Here is a 24,197-nt window from a genome sequence, read left to right on the forward strand (position 1 = left end):
CTTGTGATTAACTTGGCAGTGAGCACAAGCCATGTTTCTAACATCAAGTGGGGTACTGAGCTTCTATCTACAACGTTATTACACAAAAGCTAATTTCCCAATATTTACTAATCAATTGCTTCATGAGAACTTGTCGTACCGGTGCTCCCAAACTAGGTCTGTTGTTCAGCTGTGATTTGTGGATGGGGCACTATTTTACTATAGTCACTACTCTGGTGTCCCCAGGAAATTAGATGGCTTCACCTGGTTCAGGTATATATTTTATAATACTTTAAGACCATCTTTAATTAGAACTAAAACAAAAAAAGTAGTTGAAATAAAAATATTATGAGGAAACAATATTTGGGTTTGTTGAACCATTAACACATATGTCCTCTAAAGGTGTTTGGTTTAACAGTGTGTGTAGTTTTATTTTTTAGTCTCTTTCTACCTTGATTCAAGTACCCTCCCCTCCTCCCCCCAGCCCCACAAAACACACAGGCGTGCACGTGAGCGTGCTCTTAGGCCTCTTACAGTTTTTGCAAGCCGACCACAGGGGCTGGACTCATTCTGTAAGTGTTTGAAGTTCAATTACTATGGTACTCTTATTACGAAGGGTTACTGGTGGGGTGCCTTTTATTCATCTATGTATTTATTTATTCTTCACTTAGCACATTTATTGAATGCCTTTTAATGACCAGACACCGTGCCAAATACAAGATACAAAAATGACAGAGACATATTCCTTGGTCTCAAGAAGTTCACGGTTCATAAAGGCAAACAAATACATAAATAGATGATTACTATGTGAGATGATAACTGTGATATGGAAACATACATAGCCTATCACAGGAGCACAGAAAAGGCTAGGCAAGAGCTCCTGCAAGCTATGATGACTGAGCTGAGCTTTAAAGAATAAATAGGAGTGAGCCAGGCACAGGTGTGACTGACAGTACTTCTGGGAGAAAGTGGAGTCTGAGCCATCTCATGAGGTGGTGAAAGCAGCCCTGCACATCCAGTGAAGAAGGGCAAACTGAGTAGAGCGTGGACTCTGGAACGGGACCACCTGCTCTGCTGCATGCAAGGTGTGTATGCATGTAACTTTGGGCAAGTAACTGAGCTTCTCTGTGTCTCAGCTGCCTCATCTGTAAACACTGAGATAATTACAGGACCACCTAATAGGGTTTCTGTGACAATTGTGAGCTAGCATACATAAAGTGCTTAGAATAGGGCTTGGCGATAGTAAGCATTATGTGAGTGTTTTGTTGCTAGTTTGTGAAGTGAAAAACAAGCAGGACAGGTGAGAAATGAGGCTGGAGGCATTGGCAGGTGTAAGATGACTGTATCTCATGTTTATGAGCTTGGACTTTATGCTATGTAGCCAGAGGGGACTTTGAAAGGCTTAAAAAAGTGGGAAAACATGGCGAGATGTTTTTTTGTCACTCTGGAGACTGCAGCGAATGGGAAAATCTGGAGACAGATTTTACCCAGGGAGCTGTAGTGCTAGGGAGACATGATATGGAAATGAACTAAGATGTAGCAGTATGTGTAGGAAGAATAGGGAAATTAGTCTGCTCAGGCCACTGAGGGGACATGGGAGTGAAATGGAGGGGGCGGAGGGGAAACAAGAGTCCAAGATGGCCCCTTGGTGTGTAGTGCTGGTGATTTGGTGGCTGGTGGTACTAGCAACTGACCTAGCTAATGGTAAAGGAGGAGCAGGTACAGAGGGGAAGATACTGGGTCCAGATTTTCACATGTAGGTCCTAAAGTTTCTGATGGAAAAGTCCAGCAAGCATTTGAAGTGTAACACTTGGGAGGAAGGTCAGGACAGATAGAGTTTTAGGAACCATCAGCATGGTGAGGTTGAAATCACGAGTAATAAAATCCCTCATAGGTGGAGGACAGAGTCTTGGAATGACATCTACAGTTACAGCGAAAGCTAAGAAGAGGTCTTCAGGTTGGAGGCAAAGAAGGTAGAAGAGCTCCTGGGAGGACTGGAAAAAGAACATGCTCATGTTTTTGCCCCCAGAGATGATTTCCTCACACATGTGTGCCAATATTAGATTTTAAGAAGTATTCTTCTTAGGTTGCACTTTACATATGTGGCCCCAAGCATGAGTCTAAAGTTGCTAGTGTTCCAAAACTTCAGGCAGGCCACATGGCCAAGGTGAAAATAACTAGTCACATGTTTCTCTCTGGTTAGGTGGAGCAAGCTTACTCTTGCTAATACTGATCACACAGTCACTATGTTCCCGGAGCCACTCAGTAATGCTGGCATTTTTCCTAAGGATGCTCTTAAAAGTCTATTTATCTAGTTCCTGGGATCATTTGGATAGCCATTCCCAAAGAAAGCCAAAACATAGCATCTCTCTCTATGGCATTTTTATTTCTTTCTCATTAGTTTCCCCCTGAGTGTTGGAAAGATGTAGGTTGATAGCCACATCTTTGCAACAATCACTATTGCCTTGATGAGCACATAAGTTTTTCCTGCCCTTATGAGTGAATTTCTTCTACACAATGAAACAATTGTGGAGATACACAAAAATGGAAACAATTAGTTTTGTCTAAACTTGCTGTGCTGCATATAAGTGATGATATAAATTATGAAGATAGTGACTTTGTTAAGTTTAAATGATTTGGATACTGGAAGTCCTTGGAGGATCTTTAAGCGTATGTTACCCTTGTTTGCTTGTACCATTGAATATGTTGTGAATGTCATACAAACTCACATCCCATACAAACTTTGGAAAATTTCAACTTTAAAACATATAATGAAAAGCAAATAAAAATACCTAACACCATTTGAATACTTGATTAGAAAATTGTACAGCGAAGCACTTAAATGTAATTTTTAGATTACAGATGTAAAGTTGATATCACATAAGGATAAAGAGAATGATTAGAAATGACTCACATGATTGTATGTTTGCATTACAGAGAGAAATGACATGGCTAAGAGTCAAAAACTGTAGACAATAAAGATAATAAACTGCCACTTTAGGTTTAGGGAAACAAAAAAGGTATGAAGTCAAATAAGAGATGTTAGACGGAACAGATTAAGGAAGTTAGAGCTGGGCATGGTGGCTCATGCCTATAATCTCAGCACTTTGGGAGGCTGAGGCAAGAGGATCGCTTGAGCCCAGGAGTTTGAGACAAGCCTGGGCAACATAGTGAGACCCTCATCTGTACAAAAAGTTTTCAAAATTAGCTAGGCGTGGTGGTGCATGCCTATAGTCCCAGCTACTTGGGAAGCTGAAGTGGGAGGATTGCTTGAGCCTGGGAGGTTGAGGCTGCAGTGAGCCATGATAGGGCTACTGCACTGGGCAACACAGCGAGACCCTGTCTAATGAAAAGAAAAGAAAAGAAGAGAAAAGAAAAGAAAAGAGAGGAGAGGAGAGAATTAGAAATGAGGATCAAAGTCCTGGAAGTAAAAGGTGAGGTAAGCACAGAAGAGATTCTGTAGAACAAGGAGAGAGCTGCTGGGCAGGTAATCAGTGAGGAGAGGAGAACGCACAAGGTCAGAGAGAAATGAAGAGAAGAACATTTATGCCCTAATTAGTGAGCAATTTGTTATAAAACAGCTTTGCCACCTGGAGAGTAGAATTTAAAAATTTATTGGCACGAACTACCAAATCAGCCAAATTAGAGCAGGCCATCTTCCAGGTCTCCAGCACAGGCTACAGTGGACAGTGTGCAATAGCAACCCTTGTCATGAAGGCGGAGAGAAGAGGAAGTGTACTTCAGGAAAGCACGGGCTAATCCAATCAACGAAGATCAGCATAAGGTCATAAGAGTTCCATGTTGCAATCAGTCTTTTAAAAGCCAAAATTACCTTTTGCCTTTGGCACTGCTATCTGATACCTTAAATGGAGTATTTTGCTACCAAATGAAACTAAATAGGACAAGAAAGAGCTGCTCATCTCTTTATTGCACCATCATTGATACTAAACTTTTCCACAAAAGGGTAATGTTTCTCTTTAACCTCAGGGGCACATGTGAGTCATTGCTCTTTCAGATCCTAACTATCCAGTGATATCTATTAAGTCACCACTTGTACCTTTAACACAGTTTCTATTCAGTCCTCCTGGCCTCCCGCAAGGACTGCATTAGTCTAGTCAACCAGTAGTGCTGCTGCCGAAGTTACCTATTCTTCATGCTTGACTCTAAGAACCTCTTCCTTTCTTTCTTCTTGTTTTCTAGGCATAGGGATTTCCAGCTTTACAACATGCTATGAATTATCCTCCTCTGTGTTAACACTTGTGTTAACCTCATCCGAAGTCCTGGGGGATGTCCTGTTCAACCTGCCATTTCACCCATAGTAGAGTTGGTCCACAGTGAAAAGTGGTGAAAAGACTGAAGTCTTTATACCACTTGCATATATTGTTCCTGATCCTGCGTGTACATTTCAGAGAACTGGTGAATAAACTCTCCGCTCCATGCCTTTCTGCTCAGAGAGGTTACATCTTATATTCTCCAAATTTAAATTAAAATGTAGCTTCCTTCATTTGCTTCTCTTGTTTCTTGGTATATTTTCCCTTCTTCTAGACAAAGTTGATCAGCTTTTTATTTTTTTATTTTTTGTACTCTACTGAGATCTATTCCTAGAATGCCAGCATTGTCCACCTTTATCATTAAAAAAAAGTCTGCATCATGAAACTATGAGTCCTAATTAGAAGGGTAGTGGTGATTTTCTAACCAAAAATTACTTGGCATAATTTACTCTGGGATTAATAAGTATAAATGCATTGTCCCATCTTTGAAATTTTTCTTTTACTTCTGACTAGACATGGCAACTCTGAGTTTGAATCCAAACACAAATGTACTTACTTGAATTTCCTGGTTTTGGTCCATCATAAAAGCAATAAGTTTGACAGGAAGACAGCCTATCAGTTTGCCCTACAAGTCTTATCAGTATAACTTTGGAACCAACCAATCCAACACTCTTTATTTTGTTGGGTAGCAACTACTCCTGCTTGTTCACCCGACATTACATTTTCTTCCAGCAAAGATCCATCAACCTTATTCCCTTGTGTGACTTCCCTGATTTCACTCGTGGCTGCCATTAAATGCACTGTGTCTTTTGAAAACACTTAAACACTAATTAAATTAATTTATGGTATATGTCATTAGTATCCCATTTTGCCTTGGTCTTTTCTGCCCAAAACAATAAGCCCCCGAGACATTCAAAATGCTTGTGTTTAGTTGCTTAGTAAATCCTTAGTATCCATCATAACATCAAATCTTGATGACAGTAATGGTGATGGATAAAGGAGAAAATTACACCCCAGAGAAGTTATGAGTCAAGAATGTCTAGTTAGATTTACTTAGAACAAAGTAACAGACAAGATAAAGCCCTAAGAATAAGTCTGGGTTCATTTTAAATTGAGATGACAACCATCCCATAGTCCTAAAATAATTACTGCTTCTAATATAGACTGCACATGATTTAATTACTTCACATTGATTTTAAAACAAAACCTACATGCAATAGTTGCTGACAGAAGTTTAGACCCGATGCCTTTTCAGCCAGGATAGGTACAAGCACTGGCGCGTGTGACAGCAGGCTTCAAACCTCATTCAGCAGACGGGATAGTAGGCTAGATAATAAACAGCAATTAGAACTCACTGTGATAAAGGCCATGGTAATATTGTTAGAGAGTGCTACAGAAATGCACAGTAGTAGTTCTCTACTCAGACCAAGAGATCAGGCAGGGCTTCATAAACATCTCCATGTAATTTGCCTTACCCGGGCTGTTGCCTACCCTGGCTGCCTAGATAATGCTTGCTTCTCTTCCGAGACTCAACTCAAATCCACCTTCTCCTTAATCCAGATTTATTCTTTCCTTGATCAGCTAACATGCGCAGTGTTCTGTCCCCTGCACACTACCCTCAACCCCAGGAGGATTCATTGCTTCCTTTTAGTTGCTATAAGGGCTTTACAATCTGGCCAGGCTTAGTGGTACACCCTGCTCCTTTCCCATTTTGAATAAAATCTGCACCATAGGGCCAGAGAAATCAGAGAGAAGAGCAATTACCTTGAGTAGGTATATTAGTTCATTCTCATGCTGCTAATAAAGACATACCCGAGACTGGCTAATTTATAAAAGAAAGAGGTTTAATTAACTCACAGTTCCCAGTAGCTAGGAAGGCCTCAGGAAACTTATAATCATGGCGAAAAGGGAAGCAAACACATCCTTCTTCACATGGCAGCAGGAGAGAGAAGAATGAGTGCCCTGTGAAAGGGGGATGCCCCTTATAAAGCCATCAGATCTCATGAGAACTAACTCACTATCAGGAGAACAGGATGGGGGAAACTGCTCCCTTGATTCAATTATCTCCATCTGGTCCCTCCCACGACACATGGGGATTATGGGAACTACAATTCAAGATGAGATTTGGATGGGGAGACAGCCAAACCATATCAGTAGGCATCTAAAAACTCAGCCCTCCACTGTCTGTGTTTCTCTCCCCAGCACTTTTGCCATTACCCTATAGATATAATGATGGAGCTCTGGCTTCATGATAACTTCAGGGTTACCTGGTATGGAAAAGAGAGACAATAAAACTTGGTTTTTGTAACAATTTTTATGTCCTCAAGCCAGATCCCCTTTCCAGGACATCTCCAGCATGTAGGGATGATTCAGAGACCCAGACATAAGGAGTCACTTAAGCAAACCAGAGAAGCATATACAGTTGGAATTTGGGGTGGTGGGTAGAGAGGGGCAATGTTTTTTGAATGCTACAAAGTTCAAATGCCAATCTGTTCTCTTCCTGCCGGACTGGTCTTTGTGATGTTCAAATAAAGTGAGCATGAGATATTCTCAAAGTTAGAAGGAGTCTGTAACTATTTGCTTACAGGCAGAGGTTTGGGTAGGGGACAGGGTGTGAGAGCACCTCAGTTAAATTGTGTACGGAGGTTCTGAATTGTTTAGGCAATAGCAATGCATTATGCAATACTCAGCCAAAATGTGAGTGTAATAAATTAATAGAACTTTTGGATGACTTTTTCCCTTAAAATAGACACTTGGCATAATTTTTTTTTTTTTTTTTTTTTTTGCTGTCTTGTCTCTCCAGCAAGTGTTTAATCTTTATGTGTTTAGATTGTTTATTGGGTGCTATAATTATAGATATTTGAATATTAGAGTGTCCCTACTCAAACTGTTTTCATCACAAAATGTATGACAATTATATTGTGCCATTAGTAGACCTGCTTTTCTTCTCGACTCTGTCACAAGGACAGTGTCTTTTTTTTTTTTTTTTTTTTTTTTTTGAGGGGAGGTCTTGCTCCATCTCTCAGGCTGGAGTACAGTGGTGCAATCTCAGCTCACTGCAACCTCCGCCTCCCACGTTCAAGTGATTCTCCTGCCTCAGCTTCCCAAGTAGCTGGGATTACAGGCGCCCACCACCATGCCTGGCTAGTTTTTGTATTTTTGGTAGAGATGGGGTTTCACCATGTTGGCCAGGCTGGTCTCCTGACCTAAGGTGATCCACCTGTCTCGGCCTCCCAAAGTGCTGGAATTACAGTAGTGAGCCACCGTGTCTGGCTGAGGGACAGTGTCTTTTGATTCTTGGAGTTTTGCACAACACCTGGCACATAAATATTCCTCAGCTAATTTATTTAAAAAATAATAACTAGAGGAGCTCTGATTCTTGACTGGACACATGCAATTTAGACTTCTACTAAATAAAAAAAGAACACTAGAATAGAGAATAGATGCACTGGGATTGTGCAGCCAGGAGAAATCAATCTACCTAGATTGCCTATGTGATTCAGGTGGAACTAGGATGCCAGCCTGAAGCGTAGAAAGAATTCCCAAGTATTCTACAGAAGACTACAGGCCAGAGGTAGAACAAAGCAAGAAGAATGGCATTTTTTCTCTACAGTCAGCTTTTAAAACAGCATACGGTCTTGTTTCCATGGCAAGAAAATCTCCTAGGTGCATTGCCAGGAGATTCTCCCTTAGAAATTAAAAAGAAGAAAGAAAAGAAGGGAAAGAAGCCACCCATAGCTGTGTTTTCTGAAAACAGCTTGACTCTCCTGCTGATCATCGACGGCTGCCACGCCACGGAAACACCTCATCCAATGGTGCCCAGGCCGCCTCTACGCAGCATGCTGGAAGCTTGTGATTAATTTTGTTTGACAGCAGCAAAAAGTATGCCCTACGTTGGATGCCAGCTGATTATTTCCAGTATGTTTGCTGCTGAAAATTCCATTAATGATTTTTAATATCCATTCAACTTGAAGAGAGGAGAAAAGTGCTTTTCTGAAAAAGGAAAAGTAAATTGGACTCAGTCTTATGGAAAATCCAAATCTACAGAGTGAACGTTTGATGGCAGATGAGTTGAGGAAAATGTGAGCAATTTCAAAATTTTTTTACGTGAAGGATTTGCTCTATTATTGGTAATATATCTGTAGAGAATGTGTTGTGAATAATAACATATTTTGATTGATGTGCTTTCATTTTCTTCCCAGTGTACAAATATGGCAACTTTTAATGTTCAACTTGATGTGTATTTATTAATTGCTTACTGTGTTCAAGACCCTTATTAAATATTGATTGAACTGAAATGAGCCCTGGGGGAACCTACCATCTAAGACAGCAATTCTCAACTGTGGCTCCACATTTGAATTCCCAGGGGAACTTGAAAAATTCTGGGCCCTCAGAAATTCTGACTTAATTGTTCTGGAGTAAGGTCTGTGGCCTCAGTATTTTTTCATATGTCTCCTCATGTGCATAATATGTAATTAGATTTGAGAATCAACAGCTGATATAAAAGGAAGTGAAAAGGCAGTACATGGCCAAGTCCCTGTAGATATGCAAAGGACACTGTTTTAAAATCATTTATCTATTTGAAAAGTATGATGATTTAAAAGGAGAGGAAATTACATTTTTTTGAGGCTGCCAGAAAAAAACTCCATGAAGGAAGTAATATTTAAGTAGACTCTCAATGTGTAAAATTTTGATCGGCAGAGATAGGTATCCAGGTAGAGGATCAAAGACTAGGATGAGAAAAGAATAAGGCCAGTTCTGTGAATACCCAGTGACTAACACAAGGCTAGGAGAAAAGGAGTATTGATTGCTATTATAAAGCATTACCATTAATATGTAATTTCAGCTAGCTATGAACTCAAATACGTTTATGAAGTAATGAGATATTTTAGCATTTTTTTCTCATGTGCTACTCCTAAAAGTTACTCTTAAAACAACAGGGTTGACAAATATGTTTAATATATGGCAAAATAGACATAGATTTAAAAATGCACTTTAGTATCTTGCTATTTGATTGTGTGGTCCTCAGATGAGCAGCATTGGCATCACCTGTAACTTGTTAGAAATGAAGCTAATGCAGGATGTTGGCCCCCACCCCAAACCTAACAAATCAAAGTCTGCATTTTAATAAGATCTTTGTGTACACACTAAAGTCTGAGAAGCACTACTTTAGCATCTCAATTATTATTACATTATTAGCAGTAATTAATTGAGAAGAGTAGAGAAGTACGTTTCAACAAATTAAATTTCTACCTATGACTGTGAACGATGAATAGTGTTGATATGCAATAATCTTTTCTTTCAATCATATCTTTTTATATATGTCACCCTATATATCCCCATATAGTAATGTACTTATGTGTGATTAATACATCTAAATATGTTTCTTTGTATAGGTGTTCTCTCCAGTTCCAGTCTTTATGTCTAAAAAGATAACATCTTTTCATTTTAGACCTTGGTAATGTTTTCTGTGCTTTTCAAAAAGATGTCCTCAACATCACCTCTGAAAATGCATTATGATCTCCTGTGCCTCTGCCATCTCATTGCACACTGGTTTCGGTGGCATGTGGCAGATGGAACAGAAAGACATGAGGCTGGGAAACTCATAGATTCCAGAGGAAACTTGAGGCACACAGGAAGCTGGTTCAGCTTGGGCATGCAAGCATTATTTACCTCTTTAATCTGAATTAAACAAGTAACAGTAAGTAATGATTCAGAGAAGTTTTGTTAAGTGGCAGAATATTTTATGGATGGGTATTTTCTTACAGTGCTTCTGACCTAAGAAACGGCAGCCTATCAACAAATAATTATTAAAACATTCCTTTTCCCAAATCGTATTGGATTTGGTTACCTGCTTAAACACCCTTAGGCTGATGGTTAGCAACAAGATCTTAGTATACTTTAGTTACAAAATCATCTGCTGTTCTCAAACTTTAGTGTGCGATAGAATATCAGTGGATGTTGCTCAAAATAGATACTCCAGATCCCACTGAGAATCTGATTCAGTAATTTGGGGGTAAGGTCCAGGACTCTTTTGAAACAAGCATTCCAGGAGATTTTGTTGTTGTTACTAAGAATACTACATTTTGAGAAAACAAAAACAAAAAACACATTGCTTTAAGACAGGGGTATCCAATCTTTTGGCTTCACTGGGCCGCATTAGAAGAATAAATGTCTTGGGCTACACATAAAATATAGTAACACGAACGATAGTTGATGAGCTTAAAAGTACTGCAAAAAAATCTCATAATGTTTTAAGACAGTTTACAAAATTGTGTTGGGCTGCATTCAAATCCATCCTTGGCCGCATGTGGCCTGCGGGCCAAGGGTTGGACAAACTTGCTAAGGCATTGTATTCTTAGGAATTTACTATTTTCTTTCGGTATCAGTATTATCTAAACTAAAGCTACGCACCAGGCTAATACCTAAGCTTAGTAAACCATAGATTGATCCACCAACCTTTTTGAAGGAGATGATATTAGAAAATGATTTTGTATCCATTGTAGGATTTCATATTCTAAGCATTGACATATGTAATCTATTGGGCCAGGCACAGTGTAATGCCAGCACTTTGTGAGGCTGAGGTGAGAGGATTACTTGAGCCCGGGAGTTCAAGACCAGCCTGGGAAGCATAACGAAACCCTGTCTCTGTAAAAAATACAAAAATTAGCCAAGCCTGGTGGTGCATACCTGTGGTCCTAGCTACTCAGGCAGCTGAGGCGGGAGGATCACTTGAGTCTGGGAGGTTGAGGCTGCAGTAAACCGTGATAGTACCACTGTACTCCAGCCAGGGCAACAGAGTAAGACCCTGTCTCAAAAAAAGAAAAAAAAAAAACTGAAAAAATAAGACAGCTGTATTATACAATGCATTAGATTTGATTAGTGACCATGTTGCATTTTTTGTAAGAAAAAATTCACTAACTGTACAGTTTTTACAAGAAACCTATAATAGAATCTGACTTTACTGGTTGGTGCTGGATGTTTTCTTAGCTACTTACCATTAAAGAAAGGAAAAAGAAGGAAGGAAGGAAAGAAGGAAGGAAGGAAGGAAGGAAGGGAAGAAGGAACATGAATAACAACTTATGTAAATAGATGATCATTGCAACTTTATTTATCAATAGCAAAATAAACCTAACTCTCAAACCATAGGAACATGGATAAACATATTTTGGCATACCCATAGGAGAGAAAAATGCAGTCATTTAAATTAATATTTTTCAAAATATTGAATATAAGAAGATTCTCATCATATCATGTTAAGAGAAGAAATAAGATTTAAAAAGTTAATTTTAATAATGATAAAAACATACACATGAAAAATTGAGTGGAAAAACAACACAATGTAAATTGGTCATATCTTGAATATTAAATTGTAGGTGGTTTTAATTTTTTTCTTTCTAACTTTCTGTATAGTCCAAAATATTTTCAATAAGTTTATGTGACTTTTATAATTAGGTAAAAAAAAATTTTAAGAAGTATAATTTTTAAAATCTGGGTTGTTTTAAGAGTGGTTCAGCTTAAGAACAGGTGGATGGACTAAATGAACCTTTTTAACATTGCTTCAGTTCTAAAGACCATCTGCCCAGTCCTATTAACCAGTAACTACAGAAAGAAGTTAGATCCAATTAGTAAAGGCAGAAAGAAACATTGCCTTTGTGAGTTCTGTTTCCCTGTGCATATCTGCCACCTTAAACTAATGGAGCTATTTATTGAGTTCAAGCTGTCCCCAACGAAAGCTGCTTTTTACTTTGCTTCTGTGCAAATCTTGTTCACTTTTTACAACTGGCTACAGAATCAAAGCCAGCAGCTGGCCTCCATGCTACTACACAGAACAATAGCCTGAGCCCAAGCTTCTGAAGAGCAGGCCTGCCCCAGTATCTTGAATGTATGCCTGCATAAAAAGCAGACACCACCCAGGATGGCTGTATCTGCTGCTTCTGCTCAGGCAGTAAATATGTAAAATAGGAAGCCAAAACACATCCAGGGCCACATCTCATTGAGTGCCCTTGGGGGGAAACTCAATTGGACATCAGTTTATCTTTAAAATAGGAATCATAATGGCTTCCTCTGATTATGTCCTGTAAAGTATATAAGTGGTTTATAAACTACAGTTTTAACATACTGGTTGTTAGGTGATCGTGTTCCCATTTTTTATGTGGTTGCTTTCTCAAGCACATACATAATCATGCTAAAGAACGGTAAAATAGCAGCAGTCCTCCTGCCATGCCCAGGACTTATGCTACTTTGTAATGTGATCTCAAAATGGACTGTAAATGGATGGCCCAGTGGTATTTATTATCACCACTTAAAGTGAACCCATATGCCAGTGGCATATTGAGCTAACAATCTGTGATGTCATTGGCAGAAGCAGCTCTTCCAGAAGGCAGAGTTGCTGAGGATTCTCTATGACATTACTCTATCAGCATATTGGATGTTGCTCGTCAATAGTAGCCGTGGTGTCGGGGAAATAAGGTCAAGTGAAGCAGTGAGTTACTGGTAACTTAGGGGTTACCACCTGTCAAAAATCATACAGATTATGATTTTTTTCCAAAATTAACCTGAAATCTCATAGGATTATCACCATTTATATGTTTTGATTCTTCTCATCAGTCCTGTGAGGTACTGTTATTATTGCCATTTTAAAGATGAGGAGACTGAGGTTAGGAAAGATTAAGGAAGGTGCTCAAGTTCACTCATTTGGGTGGTGAACCCAAATTTGAAACCTCCCAGGTAGGCTGAATGCAGAGCCTCTGCTGCTCACCACTTTATAACGTTTACCTGTAAATATTCTGAACAAAGTTTAAAAAAGGAGCACTTAATCACTTAGGAAAACCAACTGCCAGAGAGTATTTTAGGTTTAGCCATTCACATAAAAATAATGCAAACTAGTAGAGTTACTTTCTTCTTAAACTCATATTTTAATATACAAATAAGATTTCTAAATCCCAAAGAGAGAATCTTGGAAGATAGTTGCAAATATGAAAAGTTGAAGGCTATTTCATTAAACCCATTTACGTTTTTTTAAAAAAGGAAACTTGAAACCCAGAGACGTTGACTTGCTCCCAAAATTCTTAGAATAAACACGTGGAAACTGCACAAGACCTTAAGGGTCCTACCTCCTACCTCATGGTTCAGTGCCCTTCATGTGACCTTGTCCATATATTTAAGTAGAATTATGAGATTAAAGTTTGTACCTTTTCAGTATAGTTGACCGACTCTTCTTGGAATCTATTGAGTTAGTGTTTTATTATGCTCTTTGTTAGCCTCGATTGTTTCCCGGATACAATCATGGCTTGATTTTGTCACTGCTCCCTTAAACTTGAGATTCTAACCTACATGAACTGGGAGCAATTTTCAGTGTTGTTTTGTGCTTTTTGCTTCTGGCCATGTACTGTGAGGCTGTGTTTGAGGTTGTCCCCGTAGGTACTCATTCAGATAGAATTGCCTGTGAATTGTTCCTTAAACTTTTAATTTCAGCATCTTTAAATTGCACTTACTTGTTTTCATGTTTGGTTTTCTTTTCTAGATTTTAAGTTATCTGTGGTCAGGGAACATGACTTATGTGCTTTAGTTTTCTTACTGCTCGTCACACTATGTGGCACATTGCAATAAATGTTTTTTAAGTAAATAAACTTGGAAATAATTATAATTGATTTCTTCTTTTTTAAACTTCTTCGTTGATACCTGCCTTTCTTCTCATTTATCTGAATCAATGTGTCATTATGGACAGTGATCTTGTTGGAGGAAATTAAACATTTCAATTGCACGTGGGCTCTCTTCTTACTATACTTTTTCCTCAGCATGCCACAATTACCCAAATTCAATAAAGCAAAAATAATGATACCTAATTAAAGATGAAAACATAAAGTCGTTTATCTATTAATTTAAATAAAGTGAACCTGTTATCACCCTGAGAATTTTTTTTTTTTTTTTTTTGAGATGGAGTCTTGCTCTGTTGCCCAGGCTGGAGTGTGGTGGTGCGATCTCAGCTCACTGCAGCCTCTGCCTCCCGGGTTTAAGGGATTCTTCTGCCTCAGTTACCCGAATAGTTGGGACTAGAGGCACCTGACACCACACATGGCTAATTTTTGTATTTTTGGTAGAGACGGGGTTTCGCCATGTTGACTGGGCTAGTCTCGAATTCCTGACCTAATGTGTTCCGCCTGCCTCGGCCTGTCACAGTGCTGGGATTACAGACGTCAGTCGCCATGCCCTGCCCACCCTGACTTTCTTAATGCCTTGATTCTGGAGGATGCAGTTCTTAGTAACCAGGCTGTGGCCCTCTGATGTAACTTTAGAGAATGATTAACATGTCACGTGGTTAGCTGGGCTCTGAGATGATCTCTGTAACAAAGCAGTCTACATTGTTCTCCCAAGGAAGAGATTTGTGTGTGACTTATTGAAGGGGAATTGGTTTTGTTTCTTAGAACGGTTTATCATTTCACAACCTGTATTTTCCATTGTTATTCTTTATCACTAGAAGGTTTTAAAACTCAGAAATAATAAAAGAGAATATAAAAACTCTGGAAGCCTCTTAAATTGATTGATGGGAAAATAGTTTAGTTTGTTAAGTACATTGTCTGGTAGACCTTCTTTCCATACTAGGAAATGGAATGGAATATATACATTCCATTCGAGAATATATATTAAATATAATGTTTGAATATATATTCAAAGAAGTTTGTTGCATTCATTCCTGGCATGGCCTCCTTACTAGTTTTTCTAACTCTGCCATGTCACCTGTTGTTTCGTGGATGAGCAACCTATTGAGTTTGTTCTCTATACCTTTGTCCCTGTAGAACTGTGTTTGGAATCAGGCTTGTTAGGACAGAAAATCAATCGGAGTTGTGAAAGAAAGTGAAACCCTGGATGCATTGGAGAGGACATAGCAGAATGGAGAGGAAGAGGATGGGCATAGGAAAGAGACACAGGAAAGCCCATTAGGGACAGTATAGTAACCTCCATGTTAATCTACTAGTCACAAGTGCATTGAGACTACAAACAAAATTGTAAGAGGATATTTTAATCTATAAAATAAATGAAAAATTATTTTCAAGCTCTTCAAAGGCATTACTTACAAAATATGTATTATTCTTATCAGACTCCAGAAATCGATCATTTTGTATATTTTAAAGAATTTGGTTTCTTGAAAAAATGTAATAGAGAGTTTTCACTAACTCAGTCTATCTTTTCTTTTAATTAGTTCTGTTAATAAGATTTTACTGCATAGGTAGTACCACTTACCACCTTACATTTTTAAACTCAGTATTAATTGTGCATAGGGAAGCTTCTTGCACATTGATGGTCTTTAATTTTGAAAGGAGTACCTCTAAATCATCATTAATTTATTCTAAGAGCTTGACTTCATTCCAGTCTAACTGTCTTTGATGCCCAGCAAGAATGGCTGGGCATTTTCTTCCAATTAATACAGCTGGCTTCTGTTTAAATGAATTAATCACGAATTCAACTGTCTTGATTCTCGTAGTATGACATTAGGAACCATTTAGTAATAAAGTAAGAAGCTTAATACTTAATGGAAAGAAAGATCTGTTTTTTTAATGCAAAAATTTTATTATCATTCCAGTTCCTGGGGAAAATTTTGCTGCCATGGCAAGTATTCTTAGCAGACTCTTGCCTTGTTCTCCTACTTTGGAATCAGGGTGTTTAGATGATATACCATAGACAGGGACTTGAAATGTAAAGATTGAATTTACAAAGCTATTTTTTTTAGCTTTACTTAAATGCTTATATACACAGCCATTAGTATGGTGACCACATATTTTAAGTACTCAATAAATATTTGCTGGATAAATAATACATGAAAACACGTATTTTTTTTTTTTTTTGAGATGGAGTTTTGCGCTTGTCAACTAAGCTGGAGTGCAATGGTGCAGTCTTAGCTCACTGCAACTTCCGCTGCCTGGGTTCAAGTGATTCTCCTGCCTCAGCCTCCAGAGTAGCTGGGATTACAGGTGCGCATCACCACACCCAGCTAATTTTGTATTTTTAGTAGAGATGGGGTTTCACCATGTTTGACAGGCTGGTCTCAAACTTCTGACCTCAGGTGATCCGCCCGTCTCGGCCTCCCAGAGTGCTGGGATTACAGGCATGAGCCACTGCACCAGGTCATGAAAACATGTATTCTTTTAATTAGTTCTATTAATAAGATTTTACTGCATATAGGTAATACTACTTACCAAATTACATTTTTAGCTTGGAACTGAATTTGCATGGTCTATATTTTGCATCTAAATATCCAGTAAGTGTGTAGAATAACTCAGGCTTCATTTGGTATAAAAACGCCTTCCTATTTCAAACTTGTTTTTTTTCCCCTTTTTGTGGAGAGTGGGGTCTCACTATATTGCCCAGGATAGTCTCAAACTCCTGGGCACAAGGTATCTTCCTGCCTCTTCTTCCCTAAATTTTGGGATCATAGGTGTGAGCCACCTGGCCCAGCCAAGCATGCCTTCTTATTTGTATAGAATCATATTTTCAATTTTTTTAGTGACTATACATTTTACTAATTTATTTAATAATTAGTTTTATATGGCTAATGATGAAATGCATAATTACTAAAACTTAATGAAACGTGCATTTAGTTATAATGCACAATTTTACCTTCCATTTTGTCAATCGTACTTTTGCAAAACCAATTCAGCTTCAATATTTGAAACATATGTGAGAGTATCCCTCTATTGTGGATAAGAGCTTCGTACTAGAATATTTTAAAAGTGAAGAGAGAAAACGTGGCTCAAATAGTCTGACCAATTACTTAGCATCTTGTGAATATTACAAAGAAAAATGCCTTCTAAAATGTGTTTGTATTTTCTTCTTAACGTTTTATATATTTAGTGTTCATTTTTATATTTCCTGAAAGGAAATATGTAAATTTTGCTATAAAATCGAGCCATCTTTGTAAAAGTGATCCTGCTTAAAATTACAAAATCTATCTGAGAGTCATTTATAAAGGTGTGAATGTATCTGGCAGCCTGGGCAAGCAGTCTGAGTTACTTCCTGATATATACATTTGGCCCTTATCTGGAGAGGACTGTACATGTCTGTATAATTTCTTTTGTTGTTTTATTTTTTTAAATTTTTAAATTTTATTTTATTATTATTATACTTTAAGTTTTAGGGTATATGTGCACAATGTGCAGGTTAGTTACATATGTATACATGTGCCATGCTGGTGTGCTGCATTGTTGTTTTATTTTGAGAGACAGTGTCTCACTTCGTTGCCTATGCTGGAGTGCAGTGATGCAATCATAGCTCACTGTCACCTTGATCTTCTGGGCTCAAGTGAGTCTTCTGCCTTAGCCTCCCTGAGTAGCTGGGATTACAGGTGCTCGCCACCATGCCTGGCTAATTTTTAAAATATTTTTGTAGAGATGGAGGGTCTTGCTATGTTGGTCTCAAACTTTTGGGCTCAAATACTCCTCCCACTTCACCCTCCCAAAGCGCTAGGATTACAGGCTTCAGCCACTGCACCTGGCTCTGTAATCTCTTAATTCCTCTTGAGTTAGATAGCAGAATTGGCTTGCATCTGGTCTTTATCTTCCTCCAGATGTAAAATCCAGGCCCATCACTGTTGGGTATAAGGAGTGAGAGAGAGGGGTTACTATTTATTCCACTCAGTGTGTAATCTATTAAGCCCTCTGAGCCAATCAAAATCATGTGGGCATTGAAGTTCAAAACCACAACATAGATGCATTCATTTATAGTGACATTGTTGCTTAGGCAACAAGAAATCTGAATCTCCTATTAAACTAGCCAACAGCAAGAATTTAAAATATTTTATTTTATATATCTGGTATTTTGAATCAATTAATAGAGTTTTTTTTCTGAGAATGACTAATAGATACTTAGTTTTCATACAAAGTTTAGGTGACATAAGAGTTACGGCTGATAGCTGCCATAACATAGAAGCATAAAATTTCATGGTTTAGCACAAAACATGCTTAAATTTTGTTCACATAAAATCTAGTGGAATCGTTGTGGGGTGAGGGGGTGAGGATCTTGTATCTCTGATTTGCGATTGTTCGGGGACTCAAGTTTATAAAGATGTGTTTACACGGTCATCTTGATAGAGACTGCTTCTAACCATTGGCTTCTGAGGTCTCGTTAGCAGTTGACATCCAGCTGGTCCACTGAGGAACTGAGAATGTGCAGGATGGTGCAGGAGATTGTCACAGGCCAGGCCTGAAAGTGGCGTGCATCTCTTTTGCTTACATTCTGTAACCTGTTGTATGGTCAAAGCACATGCAGAAGGGGTAGGAAAATGAAGTCTTCCATGGAGTAGTCATTTTCCAAAAACAACGCTTCTCTGTGAAAAAGCAGCATGAATTTTTGGTGGTCAGCTAGCTTCCTCTGCTGTGGGAAGAGAGTGACTATGATTGCTGTATTCAAGCACCAACTGAAAATCGTCAGTGTAATGGTATTGAAAATAAGGCTATTTTTAAAAATGGAAACGAAACGCGATTAAATCCATAATTGAATACATTTAGGACTTTGCTTTAGAACTAGAGGAGATGTTATAGCATCAAGTAGAGTCCCATTTAGATGATTAAGGAGATATTTTGGATTTCTGAAATTAAAAATAGTTTTTCCTGTTTTTCCCTCTGGAAAGTAAAAAATAGTTTTTCCCAAGGGTAAAAGGGGAGAAACTATTTTTTACTTTTTAAGTAAAGGTCTAAAATTCCCTCTTTCTGTAGTTGCTCAAATAAAACTGCTAAGCAAGATGATTTTCTCTGAACATACGTGCAACACATTACCTTGTATTTAGTGATTATGACATATGAACATTCTATGATGCTAAATTAAATTTCTGTAATTAAGAATAACAATATCCAGATAGTATTTTGCAAAGTACTTCCAAGTCCTTATGCCATTTTAGCCTCTCAATGAGCCTCTGAGAGAGACAGAACAAGTGTTCTTAGCCCCTTTTTGGACAAAGAATATGAGACTATCAGTGTTTAAATGACTAGTTTAAAATTCTTTGGGTTGTTAAGGGTTATAATCCAAATAATCCAGGATTATTGTTAAGATTATAGTTCTCATTGTAATCCTGTAATGTTCTTTTCATTATCTGCAATGACTGGATCTATCTGGACACTAGAAACGGCCATTCGTGTACGTTTTTCAGGTTGTACAATTTATAAAAATGCCCACAAATGCAGTTGATGTGAGAATCACCAAGGTGACTGAAGTAACGGATCAGCATTACTGGTTTATTCATTTTGCTGATACAGACATATTTTGTGTATTGCCTTTTAAGTATTTATAGAGTAGAATTCCAAGAGCTGACAGATATTAAGATATTAAGACTTTTTCTTTTCTTTTTCTTTTTTTTTTGAGATGGAGTCTCACTCTGTCGCCCAGGCTGGAGTGCAGTGGCCCAATCTTGGCTCACTGCAACCTCCACCTCCCAGGTTCAAGCAATTCTCCTGCCTCATTCTCCTGGGACTACAGGCGTGTGCCACCATGCCCAGCTAGTTTTTTTTGTATTTTTAGTAGAGATGGGGTTTCACTGTGTTAGCTAGGATGGTCTTGATCTCGTGACCTCATGATCCACCTGCCTCGGCCTCCCAAAGTGCTGGGATTACAGACGTGAGCCACCGCGCCCGGCCTTGGAATTTGTATTTTAAAATCCATGGACAGGTCAAAACATGTTAAGCAAGAAGAAGATATATCTAAGAGATAACTTTGTAAAAGTCTTCAATTATTTGAAGGGCCTGTTAGAGAGTGGCTGGCTGTGAGGAACCTGGCTGGGAACACATGCCAGCAAAGACCTAAGGACGGCCTGAGAAATTTGGAGGAAGGGGGAACTTTCCTTCAGAGTTATTAAGCACTAAAACCAGTCACTAGTGTTTTTAGAGAACCTTTACATAATTTTCTTGTAAAAGGAATAGATTCTTCTGGAACAGTTCATTAAAAGCTCTGCATGTATCTAGGAGGGAAAAGGAAAAGATGAAAAAAATAGAGGACTTAGCAAGATCATTTTTTAACTTCAAGTCCCCATAGGCTGTAAGTTAATTTACTGACAAACTATAGAAACTGTAAAAGATTTTTCCTTTTATATGACACAAAAGCTGGTCCAATGTTATATATTAACTGGTCATTGATCAGAAGAGTATAACAGAAATCATATCTTTAATATAAATATTAAAATTGCCTCAGAACACATTTAGGAACCACTGCATCCTGTTAATATAGACACTGACTACACTTTGCCTGCCTTTTAAATGTAACTGTCTCAGACATTGATAAAAGGCACTCACATCTGCAAGATTCCCCTTGTTTTTTGTACAATGAAACTCTTTTTATCATAAAATCAACACAATTAAAAATTCGAAAAGAGGTTTGACTCCCATATTACTTTAACAACATCCCATTTATGTTCTAGTCTTTATTTATATTCATAGATTTTTTTTATACAGTTGCAACACAACAAAAACATACATCATTCTTTTATTGACCACAGGTTGACTTAGTGCCAACTCTCTGGCAGGCCCTGTTCTAGGGCTGGAGACACTGCTGTGAATTAAACAAAGTCCATGCCCTTGTGGCAACTATATTCTAGTGGAAGTGGGTGGGGCTAGACAATTAACACATAAGCCAACAGGTAGATAATGTCAAGTGGCAAAAAGCAAGCAAGCAAGCAAACAAACAAACAAAAAAACCACGAAGAAAACTGAAGCACAGAAAGGGACAGAGAGTGATGGGGGGCTCTTCAAACTTGGGGAGTTAGGGAAGGCTCCTTTGAGCAGAGGATTTGACTGGAGTGAACAGAGGAAGTTACTTCTGTGACTGTCAGGGTAAGTCCATTCCTGACAGAAAAACAGCAAGTATATAATGCCTGGGAAGGGAACTCGCTTGGCATGCTGGAGGAGGAGTAAGGGACACCAGTAAGTCTGGAGCGTAGGGAGCAAGAAAGAGTGGTCAGAAATGAGATCAGAGGTCAGCAGAGACCACCTGATAAGTACCACTGTGTATGGCAGGTATTATGTTGGGTGATAGGAATACAGACCTGACCAAGACAGTTCTTAACTTCAAAAAGGTTACATTCAAATAGGCACATAGATGTATAAGCAAATAAGGAACAACAAATTGTGTTAGGTGCCATTATAAAGAAAGGAGTATAGTGCTGTGAGCAGTGTAACTAACTGCATCAGTGAGATGATGATGCCGAAATGGGATTTGAAGGATGAGTACAAGGTTTCCAGGAAAAGAAGAGAGGAAAGAGTATTTCAAACAGAGAGAGCAGCACATGGTAAAGTCAAGGAGTTGACAGAAACATCCTGGCATGTTTTTGGTTTAGCAAAATGTTTAGTGCTGTTAAAAAAAGATGTATGTTGGAAAGTTATGGGAGATGAGGGTGGAAAATAGGTTAGAACCAAATTGTAAAGGTTCCAAGTTTAAAAATTTTCCAAACTTTACAATAAAGTATTCTAGACTATTTTCTGTTTTTCATTTGTGTTATGTTATTCTATAGAAATTTAAAGTTCTTATCCATTATACTAAACTCATTGTTTTCCTGTGTTATTTTTTGCTGCTCCTTTAAGCAGCAAAAATTATTAACAAGCAATTAAAATATTAAACAAAGATGGCTTAATCATTTTTTAAGCAGAGGTAACCAGAAAGAATTTTCAATGACACTTTAATTTTTGGTCTTTGAGGAAGGAATCAAGACCTTGAAGTTATATCTATATTATTTAATAATTATTTACTTTAAAAAATGATAGGTTTCCTAGTTTCCTTACAGATACTGACTTACCACAAGTTCTACAGTTATACATATAGTAACTTTTTAAGGGACTATTTCTTGCTCATGTAATATTACTTTTCAGGAGATGTAATGTATTTTGAATGGCTGTTATTATTGTTTAAAATTTATTCACTTCATTGTCTTGCAACTAGGCTGAAAAGTTTTAGAAATGAATTATAAATAAATTCTAGATTCTGAGCATAAGTTTTCCCAATGTATTATTTTAACCTCTGAACCTCAAAAGATTTCATTTCAGACTGATTTTATTGGTTCTCTTTTTGAAAATGGAAGTGTTTCTAAAATTTCTAGAAAAGCCTGGTTTTTTTTAATAAGAAATCATAATCAATCCATAAGTGTTATTCACTGGATAGATTTAAGGCTGATAAATTGCTGTGTCCCTTGATGCTCTTCATTAGCATCAGAAGTACCATGGTGAAATAATGTTATGGGAACCTCAGGCTCTGGGGTTTTACAGAGGAGCAGGCAGTGCCCTGAGAGACAGCACTGGGTCACTGGGAGTTTTCACAGGTGCCTTCCTGGCTATGCTGAGGTCCTTTTGTTAGTGACTGGCAATAGTCACAGTTCATTTGGGAATGGGCAAGGGGACAAGCTGGGGAGGTTTCAGCATTTTAGAATATACATGTCTATGCAAACAAAACATGAGCATCATCTTTGATTTTGAAACATAACTTTAAAGTGGAAGCGTTTACCTATATAAAGTGGACATTTCCAGAGCACTCCATTACCAACAATTGGCCTCACATATCTAAAAACTTGACTGTAGTCTTATTTTAATGGGGCTTATGTAACAAAGCTTGAAAACCTGAGAATATTAATTTTTTTGTTTTTTTTTTCTTTTACAAAATGTTATTTAGAAAAGGACGTTTTATGTCTCCAAAAGACGGTGAAACAGAAATCAAATGACTGGAAAGGAACTGGAAAGGAAATTAACATTTATCTGTAGATGGGCCTTTATATATGAATCCACCGAACTGTCACAATTGTTGCACAGACATAATTAGAACCACATTTTTACAGATGAGTAAACTGAGGCTCAGAGAAGTTGAATGACAGGTCTGTGAATTGGATCCAGATCTTTCTGGCTCCAGTGTCCCTTTTCACACTGCTCCTCCCTATCATGAGTCCCAGCTCTATTTAAACATGTCATTTGATATTTTTGAGCCGTAGTTCTGCTCTAGTTAATTATCACAACATAACAAACCACCCCAACACTTAGTGATTTAAAACCGACAATTTAAATTCTCTCATACTCCAGTGGGCCCAACTGGCTTTCTTACCTGGTGGTCTCAGGGAAGTATTCCAAAAAAGTGAAATGGAAGCTGCGAGATCTCTTAGGACTTCTAGCCTCTAGAAGTCATAGTGCCACTTCACCACATTCTATTAGTCTCAGAAAGTCACAAGGCCAGCCCAGATTAAATGGTGGGAAATAGATTCTACCTCTTGATGGGAGGAACTGTAAACATTTCATGACCATATGCCATCAGTCACTATTCTTTTCTGTCTTTAATTTTTAACACATTGTGTTATGTTGTATTATTACCAAAGCACTGAAGAATGTTAGCAAGTGAAACTTTAGATTATTTGTCTCTAAAATGTGCCTCCTAATTTTGTTCTGCTTTACCATTGTGAAGAAGATATTTGAAAGGAGGTAATGAGCATGGAGATGCTTTGAAAACCTATAAATAGAGCCCTTTATAATCTAAGATGTTACTATGATTTATGGAAGATGCTAGTATTTATTGTAGAAATGATATTTCATCAATTAAAAAAGCAGATGAAGGCCAGGCATGGTGGCTCATGCCTGTAATCCCAGCATTTGGGAGGCTGAGGCGGGTGGATCACCTGAAGTCAGAAGTTCGAGACTAGCCTGACCAACATGGAGAAACCTCGTGTCTAAGAAAAATACAAAATTGGCTGGATGTGTTGGTGCATGCCACCATCCCAGCTACTCGGGAGGCTGAGGCAGGAGAATCGCTTGAACCCGGGAGGCGGAAATTGCAGTGAGCCGAGATCGCACCACTGCACTCCAGCCTAGGTAACAAGAGCGAATCTCTGTCTCAGAAAAAATTAAAATAAAAATAAAAAAGCTGATAAAAAAATATATGAAACAACCTCCTGTTCATAGGGCATATAATTCTTTCTTCTAGACTTACAGAAGCACT

The 24,197-nt window shown here is 38.1% G+C and overlaps 1 protein-coding gene across 57 annotated transcripts in view, besides 1 other annotated feature; it reads left to right on the forward strand.

The window, feature by feature from the left end:
• The window catches only part of ANK2 (ankyrin 2), a 678,115-nt gene that overhangs the window by 360,109 nt on the left and 293,809 nt on the right, over nucleotides 1-24,197 (forward strand). The window lies entirely within an intron of this gene.
• Nucleotides 570-1,070: an enhancer, noted in NCBI's record as "H3K27ac hESC enhancer chr4:113987456-113987956 (GRCh37/hg19 assembly coordinates)". NCBI's record gives its function as "activates a minimal SCP1, AML or CMV promoter by ChIP-STARR-seq in naive H9 embryonic stem cells {active_cell/tissue: H9 hESC(naive)}" and the evidence as "EXISTENCE:reporter gene assay evidence [ECO:0000049][PMID:30033119]".

The sequence above is a fragment of the Homo sapiens genome, chromosome 4 (assembly GCF_000001405.40).
Source record: "Homo sapiens chromosome 4, GRCh38.p14 Primary Assembly".
NCBI classification, from domain to species: domain Eukaryota; kingdom Metazoa; phylum Chordata; class Mammalia; order Primates; family Hominidae; genus Homo; species Homo sapiens.